This window comes from Homo sapiens, chromosome 1 (genome assembly GCF_000001405.40).
Source record: "Homo sapiens chromosome 1, GRCh38.p14 Primary Assembly".
Lineage (NCBI taxonomy): Eukaryota > Metazoa > Chordata > Mammalia > Primates > Hominidae > Homo > Homo sapiens.
Window position 1 is genome coordinate 19934353 of NC_000001.11, and position 20916 is coordinate 19955268.

Below are 20916 nucleotides of genomic sequence, written 5' to 3' on the forward strand. Positions count from 1 at the left end.
TTTTAGAAGGTCACCAGCATCTTTGTTAAGTGGCACAGCTGGGCCTGGTTGGTCTTTGTCCAGGGAACAATGGAGCGCCAGTGAGGGGACCACTCCTTCAGAATCTAAGGAGTCCGAGACACAGGGTGGAGGAAAGAATCTCACACGGGGTGGCGAGAGATGAGGCTTCTGGCTCTGTCCCTAGCCTAGGGAGGCACCCCCGGGCCTCTGTTTTCTCACCTGAGAGAAACTGCAGGCACCCACGCAGTTCTAAATCGTGCCATAGCCCTGGCTCTGGTGGGATCTTAGTGGGGGATGCCAGATGGGAAAGAGGCTGGGTTCCAATAATCTGTTGCTAGTGACAAGCCACCCCCAAACACAGTGGCTTTTTAAAGCAACAGTATTTTTTTTTTTTTTGAGATGGAGTTTCACTCTGTCACCCAGACTGGAGTGCAGTGGCGTGGTCTTGGCTCACTGCAACCTCTGCCTCCCGGGTTCAAGTGATTCTCCTGCCTCAGCCTCCTGAGTAGCTGAGATTACAGGTGTGTGCCACCACGTCTGGGCTAATTTTTTTTTTGTATTTTTAGTAGAGACGGGGTTTCACCATGTTGGCCAGGCTGGTCTCAAACTCCTGACCTCAAATGATTTGCCTGCCTCAGCCTCCATAAGTGCTGGGATTACAGGCACGAGCCACTACACCCAGCCAGCAACAGCAGTTCTTGGGGTCAGTTGTATTTCTCACAATTCTTGGGGTCCGTTGTATGGTTCCTTTGTTGGTGTCCCCTGGGCTCATTCAGATGGCTGTCATCAGCTGGATGGCTGGCTTGGCTGGAAGGTCCAAGATGACCCCACTCCCATGTCTGGTAGCTGGTGCTGGCTGTCAGCTGGGGCACTTCAGTGCCCTTCCTCCACTAGGATGAGGGGTGTGGCCACTCCTTCGTGTGGCCTGATGGGCTTCCAAGACGGCAAAGGCAGAAACTTCTTCACCTCTGGAAGCCCAGGCCCTGGGGCCCACCTGCAGCAGCACTTTTGCCACATCCATTTGATCAAAGCAAGTTACAATGCCAGTCCAGATGCAAGGAGCCTGAGAAATAGATGCCACCTCTGAAGGTGGGGAGTAACAAAGTCACATTACAAAGAAACCTACATGCTGGGATGGGAGGCATTTATGGCCATTAAACAATTTATCATAGACTAATGGGAAAAGCACCATTCTCGGATAGCTTCAAAATGACTTATACCAGGCAATGGCAAACTTCTTCTGTAAATGACCAGATAATATATATTCTAAGCCTTTATGGGCCATATGGTCTGTTGCACTACTCAACTCTGTCCTTGTAGCTCAAGAGCAGCCATAGGCAATAGGCAATCAAAAGGGCATGAGTATATACCAATAAAACTTTATTTATAATAAAAACAGGTAGTAGGCTGGATTTGGCCCATGGGCCATAGTTTGCCAATCCCTGACTTACACACACATTGATGATTACCCTGGAAGCATCTGGAGGGCAGGGACAATGTTTCATAGAGATTTTATAGAGATTCATGTCCCTGCTTTTAGACATGATAAGTTCCTGGAGCCCAAGATGTTTCAGCTTATTCATTCTTTCAGTAAATATTATTGAGCACTTACTATGTGAGGTGCTATTCTAGGCAAGGGCAAGGAAGACAGACAGTTCACTTGCTTTCTCAGAGCTTGCATTCCACTGGTTGTAAAGAACAGAAAAAAAAAAAAAAGAATGGCTTAACCATTACAGGGAATTTTTGCACAAGTAACTAAAGAGTCCATAGGTAGATCAGCCTTCAGCTTAGGTTTGATCAGGTCTCAGGTTCAGTTTCTCTGTGATTTTCCACTTGCTTCTGCTTTCCTCCACATATTGGATTTGTCCCCTTTATTCTGAGTTTTTTTGTTGCCCACAGTAGTGATATGAGCACCAGCCAGTGGCTTCCTGGGGCTACCTGCTTCCTCTTTCTCATTCAAGAGACAGACCTCTTCCTCCACCATCAGCAAGAGCTCTAATGGGCTCACCTTAGGTCCTTTGCTGACTGACTCAATTCTTGTGCTTGGGAAAGTGGAAAGTGGTAGTTGGCTTAGATTTGGATTACCATGGCCAGTGACCCCTGATGGGTTACACTTATCAGAGCCCACTTCCTGGGACTAAGCCTGGGGCCAGTCCCATTTCCTGCTGAAACAATGGGTGAAGGACAGGATATATGTCAGAGAGGCCACCACAGTGAATAGGAGCCATCGCTAAGCAAAAGTCACAATCTATCTTCCTGTCATTCCATAGGAATCAATGCACGAGGGGTCAAAGCAACAAACAGTGAAGTCCAGAGGGTTATTAGGTAGCATCAGAGGAGCAGGGCAGTGAGACGTGAATGGTCAAAGAGGGAACTGTCTTCTACTTATAGACCTTGGGTGTATCAGGCCTGAAGAGGCCTTAGAGATTATGTCATCCAAACCTCTCATAGTATATAAGGGGAAACTGAGGCCTAGAGAGGAGCAGGGATTTGCTGAAAGTCACTCAGGGAGTTAGTGGCCAAATTCGAGGTTAAATTTGGGTCTCTTGCCTTTCTGTTTCTTTGCTTCTCCCTCACATTGAGCACAAGCCCCTGCAATTAGCAGGTACTTAGTAAAGATGTTGATTTGCTTTGCTTCCAATTATGGCAAATCCATGCATGGGGAGGGGGTATATTCACAGTAGATGTATCCCAAGACATTCACGAATCTCCAAATTTACAGACGATAGCAGGAGGTAATAGGCTGCCTATTAACATACCATGATAACATCCATGGACTTTGGACAAACAGACCTGAGTTCAAGTCCCAGTTCTGCCACTTAGAAGTTCTGTGACCTTGAATAAGTTACTCAGCCCCTCTGAGAACACTGCACACTCAGGGCCTGGCCGATTGGACATACATGAGGCATAACTGAAAACCATTAAGTGACCCCTCACACTGAATAACTGCCCAGGCAAAAGACAAGTAGAGAAGAGAGAGCCACATTGCAGTATAGATGCTGGGGAATGGCTCAGTGGGTTGCCCAACACAGCCTATGACACATGGTAGTTGTACACACCAGCCTTCTTTTAAATCTTTATCTGCTGGTGGCTCATGCCTGTAATCCCAGCACTTTGGGAGGCCAAGGCGGGCGGATCACTTGAGGTCAGGAGTTCAAGACCAGCCTGACCAACATGACAAAACCCTGTCTCTACTAAAAATACAAAAAAAATTAGTGGGGCATGGTGGTGGGCGCCTGTCATCCCAACTGCTCGGGAGGCTGAGGCAGGAGAATCGCTTGAACTGGGGAGGCAGAGGTTGCAGTGAGCCAAGATGGTGCCACTGCACTCCAACCTGGGCAACAGAGCTAGAGCTAGACTCCGTCTCAAAACAAACAAACAAACAAACAAATTCCTTATCTGCACCTTGTTCCTTTCTGGCCAGGAACAATTCCCTGGAATGTTGTGGCTCACACTCTGCTCTTTAACCAGGTAACTCCTTCCTGTCTCAGCACTGACGTCACTTCACCAAAGAAGTCATATCAGTTAAGATAATGCTAGTGGCTGCAACAAACAACTCCCCAAGTTTCGGTGACTTAACACAAGTTTATTTCTCTTTCATGTAACAGGAGAATGCGGGTTGGCGAGGGTTGAAATGGGGTGATGGGTGGGGCATTCTGCCCATGCCGCCTTTCAGGGATCCAGGTTGATGAAGGCTTTTCTGTCTTTGACGTGTGGCTTTCAAAGTCATCCTGAGCACTGACATTAGCCAGCAGACAGGGAAGAGAGAAGGTGCGGAAAAAAACACCCATTTCTTATTTATTTAACTTTTAAGTTCAGGGGTGCAAGTGCAGGTTTGTTATATAGGTAAGCTCATGTCATGGGGGTTTGTTGTACAGATTATTTCATCACCCAGGTATTAAGCCTAGTACCCATTAGTTATTTTTCCTGATCCTCTCCCTTCTCCCACTCTCCATCCTTTGGTAGGCCCCAGTGTCTCTTGTTCCCCTCTATGTGTCCATGTGTTCTCATCATTTAGCTCTCACTTATAAGTGACAACATGTGGTATTTGGTTTTCTCTTCCTGTGTTAGTTTGCTAAGGATAATGACCTCCAGCTCCATCTATGTTCCTGCAAAAGACATGATCTCATTCTTTTTTATGGCTGGTAGTATTTCATGGTGTGTATGTATCACATTTTCTTTATCCAGTCTACCATTAATAGGCATTTAGGTTGATTCCATGTCTTTGCTGTTGTGAACAGTGATGCAATGAACATATGTGAGAAACACCCATTTCTTAACCATTTAGCCTAAAAGCCATAGCCATCACTTCTGTTCACATTCTACTGGGGAGAATAAATCACATGACCTCACTCAGATGCAAAGGACACTGGGAAATGTAGTCGCTGTCTGAACAGTTGTGTTCATTCCAGTAATAATCTCCCAATGACCAAGGAAGAAGAACCAGAATCTTTGTTGTCTCTGTCACAGAAATCTATTCCATGTTTTTAAGGCATTTGTACTTTTCTCTCAGAGCACTCATCATAGTTTATTTAGCATTTTAAAAAATTTGGTGACTCTTTGATTCTCTCTTCATTTGCAGATGCTAAGCTCCATGAGAGTAAAAGATTCATCATTATATCCTTGGTGCTTCGCACAGAATAAGTGATCAACAAATGCGTGCTGAATGAATAAAAGAAGATATATATTTATTAAATGACTTTTTATATGACAATATATATTTATATATTGGTGCTTTCCATTGCAAGTGACAAAAGAACCAATTTTCCTAAGTTAAACAATAAAATGGTTTGTTGGCACAGGTCAGCAAAGATTCCAGAGGTCTGAAAGCTTTCAGGTGTGGCTGGGTCATGGTTCTGGCTGTTTCTCTTACAGTTCTTTCTACCCTGCTCTGTCCTAGTGTCATCTTTGTTCTTAAGTTGGTTCTGTCATGGTTGGAAGATGACTGCATGTGCCACCGTGACTGACCTCCTATTTCCTCATGGAGAGAACAGAGGAAGCACAACTTCCCACAGTCACTGAATAAAAGTCTTTAGCTTTGTTCTGATTAAACCTAGCTCAATCTTTGTTGCAAAGGAGATAAGATGGAAGCTGATTGGGACTTATCCTTTGGGACCCACCCTTGGATCTGAGGGCGGGGAAATAGTTCACCCAACCGCACAATTGCTGTGCAATATGGAAGGAGCGGCTCCCCAAATAGAAATATGGGTTCTGGAAGGAAGGTGTTAAGAGGCAAAGGGATGCTGCTGAAACAATCAGAGTGTGTCCCTCTCACTACTGTGTTTCCAGAAACAAGGGCATTTCTAGAACTATTTATAGTAAATTCAGAAATGCCTATTACAATTGGAAGTGGGTTGAGGAGAAAGGCTCACTGTTTTGAGGTTGAGGAGAAAAACCAAATCCAAACCAATTTAATAAAACTGTGGAGCTGAAACTACTCTCAGAGAAAAATTCAGAAGAACCTCAACTGGATTGGGGCAATTCTGGAGATATTTGCTCTAGGCCCCAGAGTCTTTTTTTTTTTTTTTTTTTTTTTTTTGAGATGGAGTCTTGCTCTGTCTCCCAGGCTGGAGTTCAGTGGCCCAATCTCGGCTCACTGCAAGCTCCGCTTCCCAGGTTCAAGTGATTCTCCTGCCTCAGCCTCCTGGGTAGCTGGGACTACAGGTGCCCACCACCACGCCTGGCTAATTTTTTTTTTCTTTTTGTATTTTTAGTAGAGACGGGGTTTCACCGTGTTAGCCAGGATGGTCTCTATCTCCTGACCTTGTGATCCACCCACCTCGGCCTCCCAGGCGTGAGCCACCGTGCCCAGGCTCTAGGCCCCAGAGTCTTAATCTTGGCATATGAATTTTGTTGTCATCAGTTTCCAGAAGATACATCATGATACCCAGGAGAGCATACCAAGGCCCAGGGTGTTTTCTTGTCAGCCAGAACACAAAACAAACAATACAAGTCCCTTAAACAAAAAGAAATGACAACCAAAGGAAGAAAAACCAGCAAGATTAGATGCAAAACAAAGAGCATGTCTCAAAGACAAAGCAAACTAGCTCTGGTCTTCCCAGCAAATCTTACAACACAAATAGAGACACTGCCAGAAGTCAGAAAGAAATTGCCAGAACAGGAGCAACCACCCAAGTGTTGCCTGGAGATGCTCAAAATAGGTGCAAATTAATGGTTACCAAGTCCTTACAAAGAAAGAAAATAATTGAACACATTCCATTTAGCAAACGTTTACTTTTCTAACACTCTGCTGATTGAAAAGATGACAAGACTAAGTGCTGATCCCAGTGGACACAGAAAAGCAAATGTGTGAGCATCTGAAGCAGAGGTGTGGGCGTCACAGAGAAGGGGACAATTAATTCTGCCTGGAGGCTTTCAAGGAGAGTTACAGAGATGAGCTGTCACCTGAGCTGACCCCTGAAGGATGAACAGGGTTCAGCTGATGGTCGAGGAGGAGAAGCAGTAGGAAGTGTGGGTACAGAGGCCCCGCAAACTCAGAAGCCCTGTGGACATCTTTGCATTTCTCTGCTCAACATTCATTCTCCTTTCCTTTGATGCCATCATCCCACTTTTCCTTTGGGAAAACCCCTCTCTCATTCTATGTGGTCCTGTTGGAACTGCCTATCACAATGAGGCTCCACCCCCAAAGGTGGGTACACGACCCAAGCCAGTCAATCGGCCTCTCTCCTGGGACTCTGCCTCTTCAGCAGAGTGATCCATTAGCCTAATGCCTCTGTAGCAGAGCCATTCTGTCCTCAGTGTCTTCAAGAGACTATCTGTGAGGTTGTGTTACCGAGACTCCCTGGGTTCTGTCCTTCCCAAGGCCTGGTGGATCAGCTCTTCCTCCTGTTTCATGAATCATCCAGCTTGCTTGCTTTTTGGCTTTAGTTAGCCAGAATAAGTTGTCATAGCTTGCAACCAAAGAACTTTAATTGATATGGAAATTAGTACCAGGATGAGGGTTGCAGACAATAGCCCCTGAGGGAAATAGGGAATCGGGCAGAAAGGAGACTGTGATTGGGTGCACTAACTGCCCATGATACCCACAGTCACTAAACAGCCAGCTGCTCACCATGGGCAAAGCTTGGGGGGCTGGGTGGTTGCTGACATATAACAATGGGGAGGCCTCATGATGGGATGGTTGCCTCGGCAACATTACGTTAATTAAAGAGAGAAATACTTGTCATCCCTGGCACCACCCAATATATTATGGATAACATTTCTTTGTTTATTTCTTCTGTTTCGCCCCCAGCCCGCCAGTGCCTAGAATGATGCCTGGTACAGAGTAGGCATCTAAGCATTTGGTGAACAAATGTAGGTGTGAATAAACAGCAAGCTCAAATTTAGGATTGCCAGAATACAAAACAGAAGATTTATCCCAGAAAGAATGAAAGGAACTTGCTGATTTACATTCTCAAAAATCAGAGGAGAAACTGTGGAAATAGATATTGAGCCTCCCTAATGAAGAATAAAATTTTGGGTCAGGTTGAATTTATTGCTGTGAGTGCCCTGACCTGAGATTCTGCAATTCGATGTGCTGATTTGGACAGCCCCTGTGAGCCTAATGTTGCCTAGGTTGGTGAATTCAAGTGCTGGTTCACATCACATGACGTGGAAAGCCAGCCTTGATTGTCTGAACAATGAAGACAGTGTGAATGGAGGAATGAAACACTTAGGAGACATGAACTCCAGAGGGTATTTATCCCATGCATCCTGCCTCCTGCGCACTCTCTCACTATCTCCCTGAAATGGTCCAGATTCCACTCCTGTCATCCCTGCTTTGAGAACCAGATTGATGAGGGGAGCATAAGAATGTTTTAAAAAGCTTATTCCTGACTTCTGTTTCTTGGCCAGGGATGACAGTGGGAAGGGTTGCAGCTGAAATTCTTTCAGTACAGTTGAGGGATGCCGAGGTTGGTACAGCCAGGAGGCAGTAATCACAAGGGGAAAATGGATGTGGTCATCTTGGATGAAGTCATCAGATCTCGGAGCATGTGCTGAGCCACATGGGAGTCCCCAGAAATGAAATGGGCGGGCAACCCACTAAAGTCTTGTTTGATTTGGAGGTCAATGACATGAATATACAGGACCTCACCTTCAGTAGAGTTCCTTAGAGTTCAGTAGGCTGTGCTCTGTCTGGATGTCCCCTCTAAATTAAAAGGTAAGACTCAGACTGGCGTTAGATTTCTATCAGGCACAGCTGCCATTCATTCCTTTAATCCTTGAACTTCTTTTTTTAAAAATTTTCTTTGTGGGTTAGACCCAGTGTTCTTTGTACTTGATATCTTCACCTTAGCTTACCTTCTTATGTTAATGAACTGCATTGTCAGGTCATTTTCTATGGAAAAAAAAAAAGCAAGGTTCTAGGTCCTTCCTTGTCCAAAAATATCTTGGTTGCATCATATTTTCACTAGATGTATACTTCTAGACCAGGGCTTGGAAAACTATGGCCCATGGACCAAATTCAGTCTGTCACCTGTTTTTGTAAATAAAGTTTTATTGGAACATAGCCATGAACATTCATGTCTATAAGGTCTATGGCTGCTTTTGTACTGTTTTGGCAAAGTGGAGTAGTTGTGACTGAGGCCTTTTACAGAAAAAGTTTGCTGACCCCTGCTTTAGACTAAAAGTAGTTTCCCTTAGGACTTGGGAGGTATTTTTCGGTTGCCTTCTGCCATCCGGTGCTGATGACAAGGAGTCTGATGCCAGTCTGATTCTTATTCCTTTGTAGATGTCGTGTTTATTTCCCCTTCTATCTCTGGAAATTTTTAGGGTCCTTTCTTCATCTTTAGTATTCTAACATTAATATGACTAGGCACGAACTTTTTTCCCCATCTATTTTGCCAGGCCCTTAGTGGGGTTGTTGGATCTGCGGACTTATTCTTCAGCTCTGGGAAATTCTCATGTTTCTTTGAGAATTTTTTTTTTTTGTACTCTTTTTGCTTTTTGGATTTCCTATCAGCTGATTGTTAACTCTTGCTCCTCTGAATCTCTTATCTTTTCTTTTTTTATTTTGAGACGGAGTCTCGCTCTGTTGCCCAGGCTGGAGTGCAGTGGCGTGATCTCGGCTCACTGCAAGCTCCACCTCCTGAGTTCACGTGATTCTCCTGCCTCAGCCTCCCGAGTAGCTGGTACTACAGGTGCCTGCCACCACGGCCGGCTATTTTTTTATTTTTATTTTTAGTAGAGATGGGGTTTCACCATGTTAGCCAGGATGGTCTCCATCTCCTGACCTTGTGATCAGCCCACCTCGGCCTCCCAAAGTGCTGAGATTACAGGCCTGAGCAACCGTGCCCAGCCTTATCTTTTCTATTACGTTTTCTCTTTTATTGTCTTTTTCTTCTACTTTCTGAGAGTTTCCATGACTTTAATCTTTCAACCTTTCTTTGTTATTTTTTATTTTTATTTTTTATTCTTTTGAGATGGAGTCTCACTCTTGTTGCCCAGGCTAGAGTGCAATGGTGCAATCTTGGCTCACTGCAACCTCGACCTCCTGGGTTCAAGTGATTCTCCTGCCTCAGCCTCCCAAGTAGCTGGGATTACAGATGTGCGCCACCACGCCCGGCTAATTTTGTATTTTTAGTAGAGATGGGATTTCACCATGTTGGTCATGCTGGTCTCAAACTTCTGACCTCAAGTGATCCACCCACCTTAACCTCCCAAAGTGCCACGCCTAGCCCCAATTATTGTTTTAACATAACTTTCTATTGTCATTTTTTAGATGTCATTATTTTCTTGAACCTCTGAGGGTTGCAATGAGAGATTTTTTTTTTTTAAGTATCTGCTCCCTGAATTATCTTTATTTCTTCTGGGTCATTCCCCAACTCCCTTATTTGATAATGTTGGCCTTCTTCATTTGCAGTGTTTCTCCCCATTTCTGGTGGTACTTGATGGTCTGTTCATATTTATAAACAAGACAATACACATCTCCATACATGTAGGTGGGGCTTGCTACCCAGTGAGTTCTGTTTTATGGTGAATGCACGACAATGCTGCGGGAGATCTTTTATCGCATGCATTAAAGTCTACACTAGTTGCTCTAATTATTCCCTGTTTGTTGAAATTCTTTAGAGAAAAGCCCTCTGATTTTTCACCAGGAGGGTAGTGGTAGTGGTATGGCCAAGAGTGGGGAGGTTGGATGCCCAGGCTCTATACATTGTGTGTGTGTGTGTGTGTGTGTGTGTGTGTGTGTGTGTGTGTGTGAAAGAGAGAGTGGGAGGAGTTTGTGTCGACACATCTTCTTTATTTTGTTGGTATTAATAACAACCACTTTGATGGTTAATACCGAGTGTCAACTTGATTGGATTGTAGGATGCAAAGTATTGATCCTGGGTGTGTCTGTGAGGGTGTTGCCAAAAGAGATTCACATTTGAGTCAGTGGGCTGGGGAAGGCAGACCCACCCTTAATCTGGTGGGCACAGTCTAATCAGCTGCCAGCAAATATAAAGCAGGCAGAAAAACATGAAAAAGAGAGATGGGCCTAGCCTCCCAGCCTACATCTTTCTCCTGTGCTGGGTGCTTTCTGCCCTTGAACATCAGAATCCAAGTTCTTCAATTTTGGGACTCAGATTGGCTCTCCCTACTCCTCAGCCTGCAGACAGCCTATTGTGGGACCCTGTGATTGGGTAAGTTAATACCTAATAAACTCATATATATATATCTATATATGTGTATATATATATATATATATATATATATATATATATATATATATATATCCTATTAGTTCTGTCCTTCTAAGAGGACCCTGAGTAATATGACCACTTTTTACTTTGAAAAACCATCCCTCTCTTTCATTTCATGTGACTCTGTAGGGCTATCTGTCATGCTGTCCTGCCCTTTTCACCACAAGGGTAGACTTATGAACCAGGATGCCCAAACACTGTCCTCCATTATCCCTGGCCACATGCATATTTTTAGGAATGGGCACCCAACTCAAACTGGACCAATCAGGGTCTTTCATTAGATTTGACGTATGGGTCTACCCTTTCTCTGGGACCTTGAGCTGTGAAGATCACGCAAGCCTGGAGCTGTCAGTGACCACTTTTCATGACTGAGTGGAAGAGGCTGCCTGTAGAATGAAGCCAATATGCTAAGGGAGGAACAGAGAGAGAGAGAGAAAGAGAAAGATCTTTGGATCCAACTTTGACTTCCACTCTAAAGCTTCAAATTATGTGAACTGATAGTTCTATTTGTGAGTTAGGCTGATTTGAGTTGGGTCCTGTCATTTGAAATGGAAAAGGATCCAAACTAACCCGGTTTCAGAGGTGGAAGACATCTGGTCCTACTTGTACTCTGGAGACTCTTGGGTAGGAGCATCTGTGAGAAGCACACAGAGGTGAGGCTGAATTCCTGTGCTGGGCTTTGGGAACTTCAGCAAAGACCCCTGGGCCCAACTTTGACTTGGAGAGAGTAGAGCCCCACTCTTCAAACACACCAACTGATCACCAGGAAAGGCAGGCACGCTGTACAGAGACCCTTTCTGAAATGTTCTGGGCTGGGCAAATCCTCAGGACTCCCACACAACTTCAAGGGAGGAAGAAGCGATTACCCCCAGAACATGATTTAAATTGTCCACCCATCTGGGTTAGGTGAGTCAAACTGATTTTACTTGGAAAGTTAAAGCAGTGTGACATTTCTTGTGTTTGAATGTCATGGAAGAAATTCATACTTGTGACTCCTCCTTCTCCTAATCATCACAATCGTCCTTATCACCACCATCATCATGTGTCCCAAGGCCAGACTACACAGTGTTAATCATACCATGTGTGCAGTATTAACAGCCAAGCTCAGGCCCATCTCTTTCTCATTTCTCCCCACCAAGGGTTAAAACAGCTTGGAGTCTTTTCCTACCCAGGCTCAGCTTGTTAAACTTCGACAGAACATTTTCAGATCAAGCTTTGAAATAATTTGTCAAGTTTTTAGCTGTTGAGAGAACAAAACAAAGGTGATTCAGGAACAGATAAAAAGAAATAAGATAAGTGACTTCAAACATTATCAAAAAGCTGGCGGTGAAGTACAGAAGGAAAAAGCAATCAGTCAGTTAGACAACATGGCATGAGATCTGTAAGATAGCGTTTTGGAGTTCCAGTACGTGGGAGGGGGTCTGATCAGAGCGGGCTAGTCCACAGAACTAGGCTCTGTGGCACACCTAGAAGGAAGCTGAAGGATTACATACATAAAATGGACCAAGCAGCATGGACAAAACAGTAATAGTCATTTGTTCAAATATTTATTGAGCATCTGTTATATGCAAGGTTTTGTCCAGGTGCAAAGATGAATCAAACATGGAGCTTATCCTATGCATTCGTTGACCTGGAGAGGAGATAACAGGCACAGAAATGACTGTAACACATGGAAGAAAGTGATAAGGCTTTATCTTATCACTTAGGAGAGCCGAAGATAAAATTCTATAGTATTTGTGTTAAAATGTTAACAAAAATTAGACAACTGAGATATGATGTTCTTCTGGATCTGCGTTAACAAGAGATAGAGCCCAAAGTTCACGACAAAAGCTGCCTAAATGAAAAACAAAAGTAGAATATACTAAGAATTTAACTCAATGAGAAGTGGTTGTGGGCAAAGGAAACACAAGATACATTTACAGAACAATGCAATATAGCTCAACTCTGTACTTCGGAACTTTTATGAATATGAGAAATGGAGGACTTACCACCATTGGTTAAAAAGTCACAAAAAAAGCATTAAAGGAGATAAAGTCACTCTATAATGGAGGAAGATACACAGTAGAGAGCAACCTCCCATGGCTTGGAACGAACTGTGCTGATTTTCCAGAAATTTACCATGAAATGTACTTCATTATGTGATAATGAAGTACAAATGGATGACTGCCAAGGAAGTAGAGGATACTCATGTCAAAGAAATAGAGAATATGCTCCTAAATATGTTAACAGAAGAAAAAAGAAAAATTACTGAATATTTTTGATAAAAAGGCACGTGGCACCAGAATCTGGCCTCACTGGAGACTTTCTTTCAAACATTGGAAAGATAAATACTTCTTTTCTCTGCAACCTCAACTTTTTGACTTTTTTTTTTTTTTGAGACAGAGTCTCACTCTGATGCCCAGGCTGAAGTGCAGTAGCACGATCTCAGCTCACTGCAACCTCTGCCTCCTGAGTGCAAGCGATTCTCCTGTCTCGACCTCTCAAGTAGCTGGGGTTACAGGCAGGCACCACCATGCCCAGCTAATGTTTTGTATTTTTAGTAGAGATGGGATTTCACCATGTTGGCTAGGCTTGTCTCGAACTCCTGACCTCCAGTGATCCACCCTCCTTGGCCTCCCAATGTGCTGGGATTACAGGCATGAGCCACCATGCCCAGCATTCTTTATTTATTTATTTTGAGATGGAATATCGCTGTCACCTAGGCTGGAGTGCAGTGGTGCGATATTGGCTCACTGCAACCTCCGCCTCCTGGGTTCAGGTGATTCTCCTGCCTCAGCCTCCTGAGTAGCTGGATTACAGGCATGCACCACCATGCCCGGCTAATTTTTGTATTTTTAGTAGAGACAGGGTTTCACCATGTTGGTCAGGCTGGTCTTGAACTCCTGACTTCAAGCAATCCACCTGCCTTGGCCTCCCCAAGTGCTGGGATTACAGGCGTGAGCCACCTGGCCTTATTTTTTGACTTTTTGGTAATAGCCATTCTGACTGGTGTGAGATGGTATCTCACTGTGGTTTTGATTTGCATTTCTCTAATGATTAGTTATGTTGAGCCTTTTTTCATACACTTGCTGGCCACATATATGTCTTCTTTTGAATAGTGTCTTTTCATGTCCTTTGCCCACTTTTTAATGGTTTTTTTTTTTTCTTTAGACAGATTCTCGCTCTATCGCCCAGGCTGGAGTGCAGTGGCGCTATCTCGGCTCACTGCAAGCTCTGCCTCCCGGGTTCATGCTATTCTCTTGCCTCAGCCTCCCGAGTAGCTGGGACTACCGGCACCCACCACCACGCCCAACTAATTTTTTGTAGTTTTAGTACAGATGGGATTTCACCGTGTTAGCCAGGATGGTCTCGATCTCCTGACCTTGTGATCTGCCTGCCTCGGCCTCCCAAAGTGCTGGGATTACAGGCGTGAGCCACCGCGCCCGGCAGGTGTTGTTTTTATCTTGTAAATTTGTTAAAGTTTCTTATAGATGCTGGATAGTAGATGTTTGTCAGATGCGTACTTTGCGAATATTTTCTCCAATTCTGTAGATTGTCTGTCTACTCTGTTGATAGTTTCTTTTGCTGTGCAGAAGCTTTTTAGTTTAATCAGATCCCATTTGTTCAAATGCTGCATGTTCTCACTTATTATAAGTGGGAGCTGAATGATGAGAACACATGGACCCAAAGAAGGGAAAGGCAGGTACTGGGACCTACTAGGGGTAAAGGTTTGGAGGAGGGAGAGGAGCAGAAAATATAACTATTGGGTACTAGGCTTAGTACCTGGGTGATGAAATAAGCTGTACATCAAACCCCTGTGACATGAGTTTACCTATATGATAAACCTGCACATATACCCCTGAACCTAAAATAAAAGTTAAAAAAAATTTTCTAAGTAGATTGTTTCATGTTACTGAAAAGGATGGGCATTCTTATGGGGGAATGCTTATGCTCTGTTCCTGTTGTTTGTTTCTGACGTATGGAGCATCCGTTGTGTAACACTCCTGATCTCCCTCCATCCATTCCCTCATTCTTCTCTGGAAGAGTCTTCCTGATTGACAAGTTTAGGAGAAGAAACTGGGCATGTCCAGTTCAGCCCCTCTCTCTCCTTCCTGTTTGAGTGCTGCCTGCCTGCTGAGGGCATGTGCTCTGGTCTGCTTCTGGCTGGGTGGCCAGCTTAGCTGCAAAGGCTCTGGCCCTCCGGTTGTTCAGCATTGCCCATGACTAAGTAGGTTAGTCATCCAATTCGGGGTGTGGAGTTAGGAAGCTCATTGTTTCCATAGTCACAAGCTACATCCTCCAATTTAGCCCTAATTGATGTTTTTAAAAATCAGAAATAATTTGAGCTCTACCTGATTGATTCTTTTGTCTTTTAATTGGTCAAAAATATGGGCAGGCATAAAAAACAAACAGCCAGGCATGGTGGCTCAAGCCTGTAATCCTCGCACTTTGGGAGACTGAGGCGGGCAGATCACTTGAGGCCAGGAGTTCGAGACCAACCTGGCCAACATAGTGAAACCCTCTCTCTACTAAAAATACAAAAAATAAAAAAATAAAAATAAAAAGCTGGGTGTGGTGGCGCATGCCTGTCATCCCAGCTACTCGGGAGGCTGAGGCATGAGAATCACTTAAACCCAGCAGGCTGAGGTTACAGTGAGCCGAGATCACACTACTGTACTCCAGCCTGGGTGACTGAGCAAAACTCTGTCTCAGAAAAAAGTAAAAGAAAACAATGAACAAACAAAAAATTTTTCAAAAGAGAAAAAAGAAAGTAAAAAAAAAGAAAAAAAAACAGAAAAGAGAAAAAAAATGGGCAGGGAAAAAAGGTATTTTCTAATGACGTTGCCTCCAGACCCCAAATCTGATGTATTGGCTAGGAACTTAAAAAAACACATGAGTAGAGCTAAGGAAGCAAAATAGAAGTGACATTTGAAGTAAGCTGCTGTTCCCATACAGGTGGGGATGCAAGTGACAATCTCATCAGACACAGGCAGCTTCATGCGGAGGGACTTAGCAAAACGCGAGCACCAGGATCCAGCAGAGTCATGGGCCATGCAAGCCTAAATTTGTAGGTTACTGCAAGTTGACCTGGAACTGCAAGGAACTGGCCTTTGCACATCTGCAGGGGATATCTGGGGTTAGCAGATGCCAGAGGGCCATGGGGGCTTCAGGCAGCGTGCACAGGGGAGGCAAAGATTCATTATGGGAGGAGAGAGGGGCTTCCTGTATGCAAGTCCTGCAGACACTGGGGGCACAATGGTTTGCTGCATTTCCTGTTTCTTCAGCCACGTCTGCAGGCCAGGACTTAGGCTTCACCACTGTATAGAGCAGTGCTTCTCAAACTTTTTTTTTGAGATGGAGTTTTGCTCTTGTCGCCCAGGCTGGAGTGCAAGGTTGCGTGCGACCTTGGCTCATTGCAACCTCTACCTCCTGGGTTCAAGCGATTCTCCTGCCTCAGCCTCCTGAGTAGCTGGGATTACAGGCACCTGCCACCATGCCCGATTAATTTTTTGTATTATTAGTAGAGGTAGGGTTTCAGTATGTTGGCCAGGCTGGTCTCGAACTCCTGACCTCTGGTGATCCGCCTGCCTCGGCCTCCCAAAATGCTGGGATTATATGCGTAAGCCACTATGCCCAGCCTGCTTCTCAAACTTTTTTTTTTTTTTTGAGACAGAATCTTGCTCTGTCGCCCAGGCTAGAGTGCAGTGGTGCAATCTCGGCTCACTGCAATCTCTGCCTCCTAGGGTCAAGCAGTTCTCCTGCCTCAGCCTCCCGAGTAGCTGGGATTACAGGCTCCTGCCACCGCACCCAGCTGATTTTTGTATTTTTTTTTTAGTAGAGATGGGATTTCACCATCTTGGCCAGGCTGATCTCAAACTCTTGACCTCGTGATCCACCCACCTCGGCCTCCCAAATTGCTGGGATTACAGGTGTGAGCGCTTCTCAAACTTTAATGGGGATTTCTTACAATGCAGATTCTGATTCATTCGATCTGTGTTGGGAACTAAGATGTGGACCACACTTTGAGTACCCAGGTAGGTCCTCCCATAGACCTCCTGAATCAGGATCTGCATTTTAACAAGATTCCCTGGGTGACTTTCCGGCATGTTAAATTTTGAGAAGTGCTGCTCTAGACCCCTGGGGTTTCAGTGTTTGGCATTAAAAGCCTGTGTAGTTGGTATAGAGGAACTGCCTGAATTCCATTTCTTTTACATTGTTTTGAGTGGCGTCAGTCAAGAGACCCAACTGTAGAGCAGTGTTTTCAATCAGGGGTGATTTTGGCCCCCAGAGGACATTGGCAATGTATGGAGATGTATTTGTTGCAACTGGGAGGATACTGCTGGCATCCAGTGAGTGCAGGCCAGGATGTTGCAAATCATCCTACAGTGCCCAGGCCAACCACCGCACAACAAGAATGATCAAGCCTCAAATGTCAATAGTGGTGAGGTTGAAAAAGCCAGCTATGGAGGGATCAGCCTTGAGTTTAGATGGCATATCTACATGTGGGCAGTTCCACTCAAAGTCTTAATTTGGCTCTGGATTTCTTAGTTATAGAAGTCATATCATAGCCAAATGTTGGACTCACTCATGGAAGGATGGTACATTTTATAACAGAGAAAAAATGAAAAAGAAGGCTGGGTGCGGTAGCTCATGCCTGCACTCCTAGCACTTTGGGAGGCCAAGGCGGAAGGGTCACTTGGGCCCAGGAGTTCAAGACCAGCCTAGGCAACATTGCAAGGCCCCATCTCTACAAAAAAGAAAAAAAAATTAACTGGGTTTAGTGATGTGTGCCTATAGTCCCAGCTACTCCGGAGGCTGAGGTGGGAAGATTGCTTGAGCCCAGGAGGTCAAGGCTGCAGTGAGCTGTGATTGTAGCTTAGGCAACAAGGCAAGATACTATTTCTCAAAAAAAAAAAAAAAAGAAGAAGAAAGGAAGGAAGGAAGGAAGGAAGGAAAGAAGGAAAGAAAAAAGGAAAAAAGGAATGGGCACTCTTATTATAACTATAACATGCCGTTTACCTATATTAAGGTATAGAAATGATGCAATCCAATTACTGTTGACTCGAGGCTTAAGAAGGCAATTAGAGTGGCTTGCATTTTGTAATACAGCACTTTGTCTCTAGGGATCAAGATTGCACAGGGAATTTAAAAAGGAACCAGGAACCCAAATTATTTCAGAAGTGTGGCTCAGTTTTTGTTTTTGTGGTTTTTAGAATCTGAAAAGGAGAAAAACAAAATAAAGGAAGATAGAAGAGATTTCCTTAGAATAGTGGTTCTCAAAATGTAGTCCCCTACCAGTAGTACTGGCATTACCTGGGAACTTGTGAGAATGCAGATTTTTAGGCCCCACCCCACACTTACTGAATTAGAAACTCCAGGGATTGGGCCCTGGAAATATTTTTTACAAGGCTCCGTGTAATTCCGATGCTTGCTCAAGTTGGAGAACCACTGCCTTAGGAGAAAGGTTGAGATGTTAGAGGACTGATCAGACACATAAAATGGAAAATGAGATCTTGATGACCAGGCATCTATAATCCTCTAGCTAGAATTGAAATTGGGGAGAATAAATTTTGGGTCATAATCCCCTTGGATTTCAGTTTGCAAGGTAATATACCCCTGTTTTCTTTAATCTCATATGCTTTCATGTTGGTTTTTAAAAAATCTTATCTGAAGGATCAATGGAAGGTTTTTCACAAAACTAGGTCACAAATGCTACCTGTCAGACAATTGTAAGATGACATCGATTTTAAGATGCATCCAGATTGCAGAGACGTTAAAATGAGGAAAAGATATGCATTTTAGAATAAATGATTAGAGCAATTCTCAGACTTTACTTCCTGAGAATTTGGTAATGGGAGAAAGTTTATATTCAAATGCAGGGCACATTGTTGAAACTGGTTTTTGGAGCATCCTTCTGATTCATTTGAACTCATCACAGAACCTCTGATAGGCTGTACCAGACAATGAGGCTGAAATGAAACTGGCTGAATTAGAAATTGGAAATAGAATGTGGGATTAATTTTCAGCTTTGGTTTGGTGGCAGTATTATCAGGATTAGGTTCAGCTGTGAATGATAAAAATAAAACATGATGGTGGCTTAAACAAGATGGAAGTTTATTTCTCTCTCACAGATATCTGGAAGTAGACAGTCTTGAGTGTAAAAGTGAGTCCACAATCATCAAGGACAGGTGTCCTCTAACTTGCTGCTGTGCCATTCTGAGTATAGTACCTCATGGTTCAATATAGTTGCTGGAGTGCCAGCCTTTGTGTCCACATTCCACCTTGTAAGAGGGTATATTGGGAGAGACTAGGACCAAGAGCCAAGCCTGGGGGATCTGAGGTCAAGTAGAGGAGGAGGTCTGCAGTGGAGACAGAGAAGGAATGGCCAGGGAGGTGGGAGAAAAGACAGGAGAGTGTGGGTCAAATGGGAGGAGGGAGTTTGAGGACAGAGGGTGAGGGCTTCTCTTTCTGGTTGGCACCACCATGTTCTTTTCTTGTTATACAATTTGTTCCTTAGAAACATTCTGTTGAAAGATTCATCCTATAGAAACAGGTAACATTTCTCATGATCCTATCATTTCCGATTAAAAAAATATTGTTCTTTTCCTTTCCATCATAATTGTATACCTCTTTCTCTTGTAGCCATTGCACATACTGGGCACAGTAAACAATATTGGTGAAATGCCTTAAAATTCATCATAATCACAGCAAACACCATTCTCTCAAAACTACTCTGTCCCAGATAGTCTCCATGTGGCCTCCCAACTCTGCTCCCCACCCTGCTCCACCTGCCTTGTGTGCATCCCAGGAGGCTGATCTGCATCACTGCATCTACAGGTCCCCTTGCCCTTTGGCTCCTGGTTGGGTTTGGCAACAGGAAGGACCATCAGGGGAATCAGATGGAGGGAGGAGCATGAGACTGGCACATTTATTTCCCTGGACCCCTCCCACAGAGGGGTCTTGCTGTGGGCTGTTTGTGTCCATCCACTCAAATTCACAGTTTCTGTGTCTGTCCTCACCACTCTCTCTGCATTCCAGTAGCCATTTCCTTCCCTTGACTTTTCAGGCTTGGCAATGGTAACATCTACCACACTGTTAGAAATTCTGTTACTGAAACACCAGGGGTTTGATGTAGGTCCTGCTGCTCGCCAAACAGAAAGCCAATCACTGAGATGACAAGTATTGCCAAGGAAGAAGGATTTAATCGGGTGCTGCAGCCAAGGAGATGAAAACTCAGTCTCAAATCCACCTCCTTGACCATCTATAACCAGGGGTTTATGTAGCAGGGAAGAAATGTAACAATGTGTAAGAAAACAGGAACTAGGGAGGGGCAAGGAAGTAGTCATAAGGAATGAGGGGTCCAGAGTCTCCTTGTTTGAATGTGGTGATCTGGTTTCAGCTCTCTGATACTTTTTTGCTTAGAGACCTAAAGGTTCTTTCCTGAGGAAGGAACTCAGAAAAAACAAATATACATTTCCATCTTTAAGATCAGAAAGGTCATGTTTATCTTTTGGATATGTTTATTTGAAAGATCTGTCTATGGGGCTGTTGGGTCAGTTTCAATTCCTTGGGATTTTCCCTATGCCTGCCCACACCTTTGCCAAAAGTCCCTTTATCAAAGTCTCCCTGAGTTACCCAATTTGAAGGGGCCACCTTTTTTTGATCTAGACCTTCACTGAGACACACACTCCTATCCTTCAATCTCCTTCCAGAACTTTGCTATGATGGCTCTTCTGAAGATCACCAATGACCACCACATTGTCAGTCCAGTGCCTGCCTCTCAAGTCTCATCTTACTGAACCTATCAGCAGTATTGAACACGCTGCTCCTTCCTCCTCCTTGACCCATTGCCATGACTTGTCTCCACTTCCAGGACCTTTCAATCTCCTGCCTTCCTCCCTCTCTTCCTGGCTTCTTCTCTTCCTTCCCAGCCTCTGCCCAGGGTGGTGTCCCAGGGCTGTCCTTGGACCTTTTATCTTCTTCTACTCTTTTAGCGATGTTTTCAACTCTCATGGTTATACAAACCATCTATTGGCTGATGACTCCTAAGTTAATCCCTGCAGCTCAGCTAACTCAAGATGCACTTATTCAACTGTCTACCTGACATCCTCATTTGGACGTCTAATAATAAGCATCTCAAACCCAACACAACCAAAAATGAACTCCTGATCTGCCCCCACAGGACTGCTTCACTCCACCTTTCCCATCTCAGTTGATGGCAATTTCTGCTTCCACTTGCTCAGGCTAAAAA

The 20916-nt window shown here is 44.2% G+C and overlaps 1 annotated feature.

Annotated features, from left to right (window-relative positions):
* Window positions 14664-14958: an enhancer, noted in NCBI's record as "tiled region #3300; HepG2 Activating DNase matched - State 9:DNaseU". NCBI's record gives its function as "activates a minimal TATA promoter and a strong SV40 promoter by Sharpr-MPRA in HepG2 cells {active_cell/tissue: HepG2}" and the evidence as "EXISTENCE:reporter gene assay evidence [ECO:0000049][PMID:27701403]".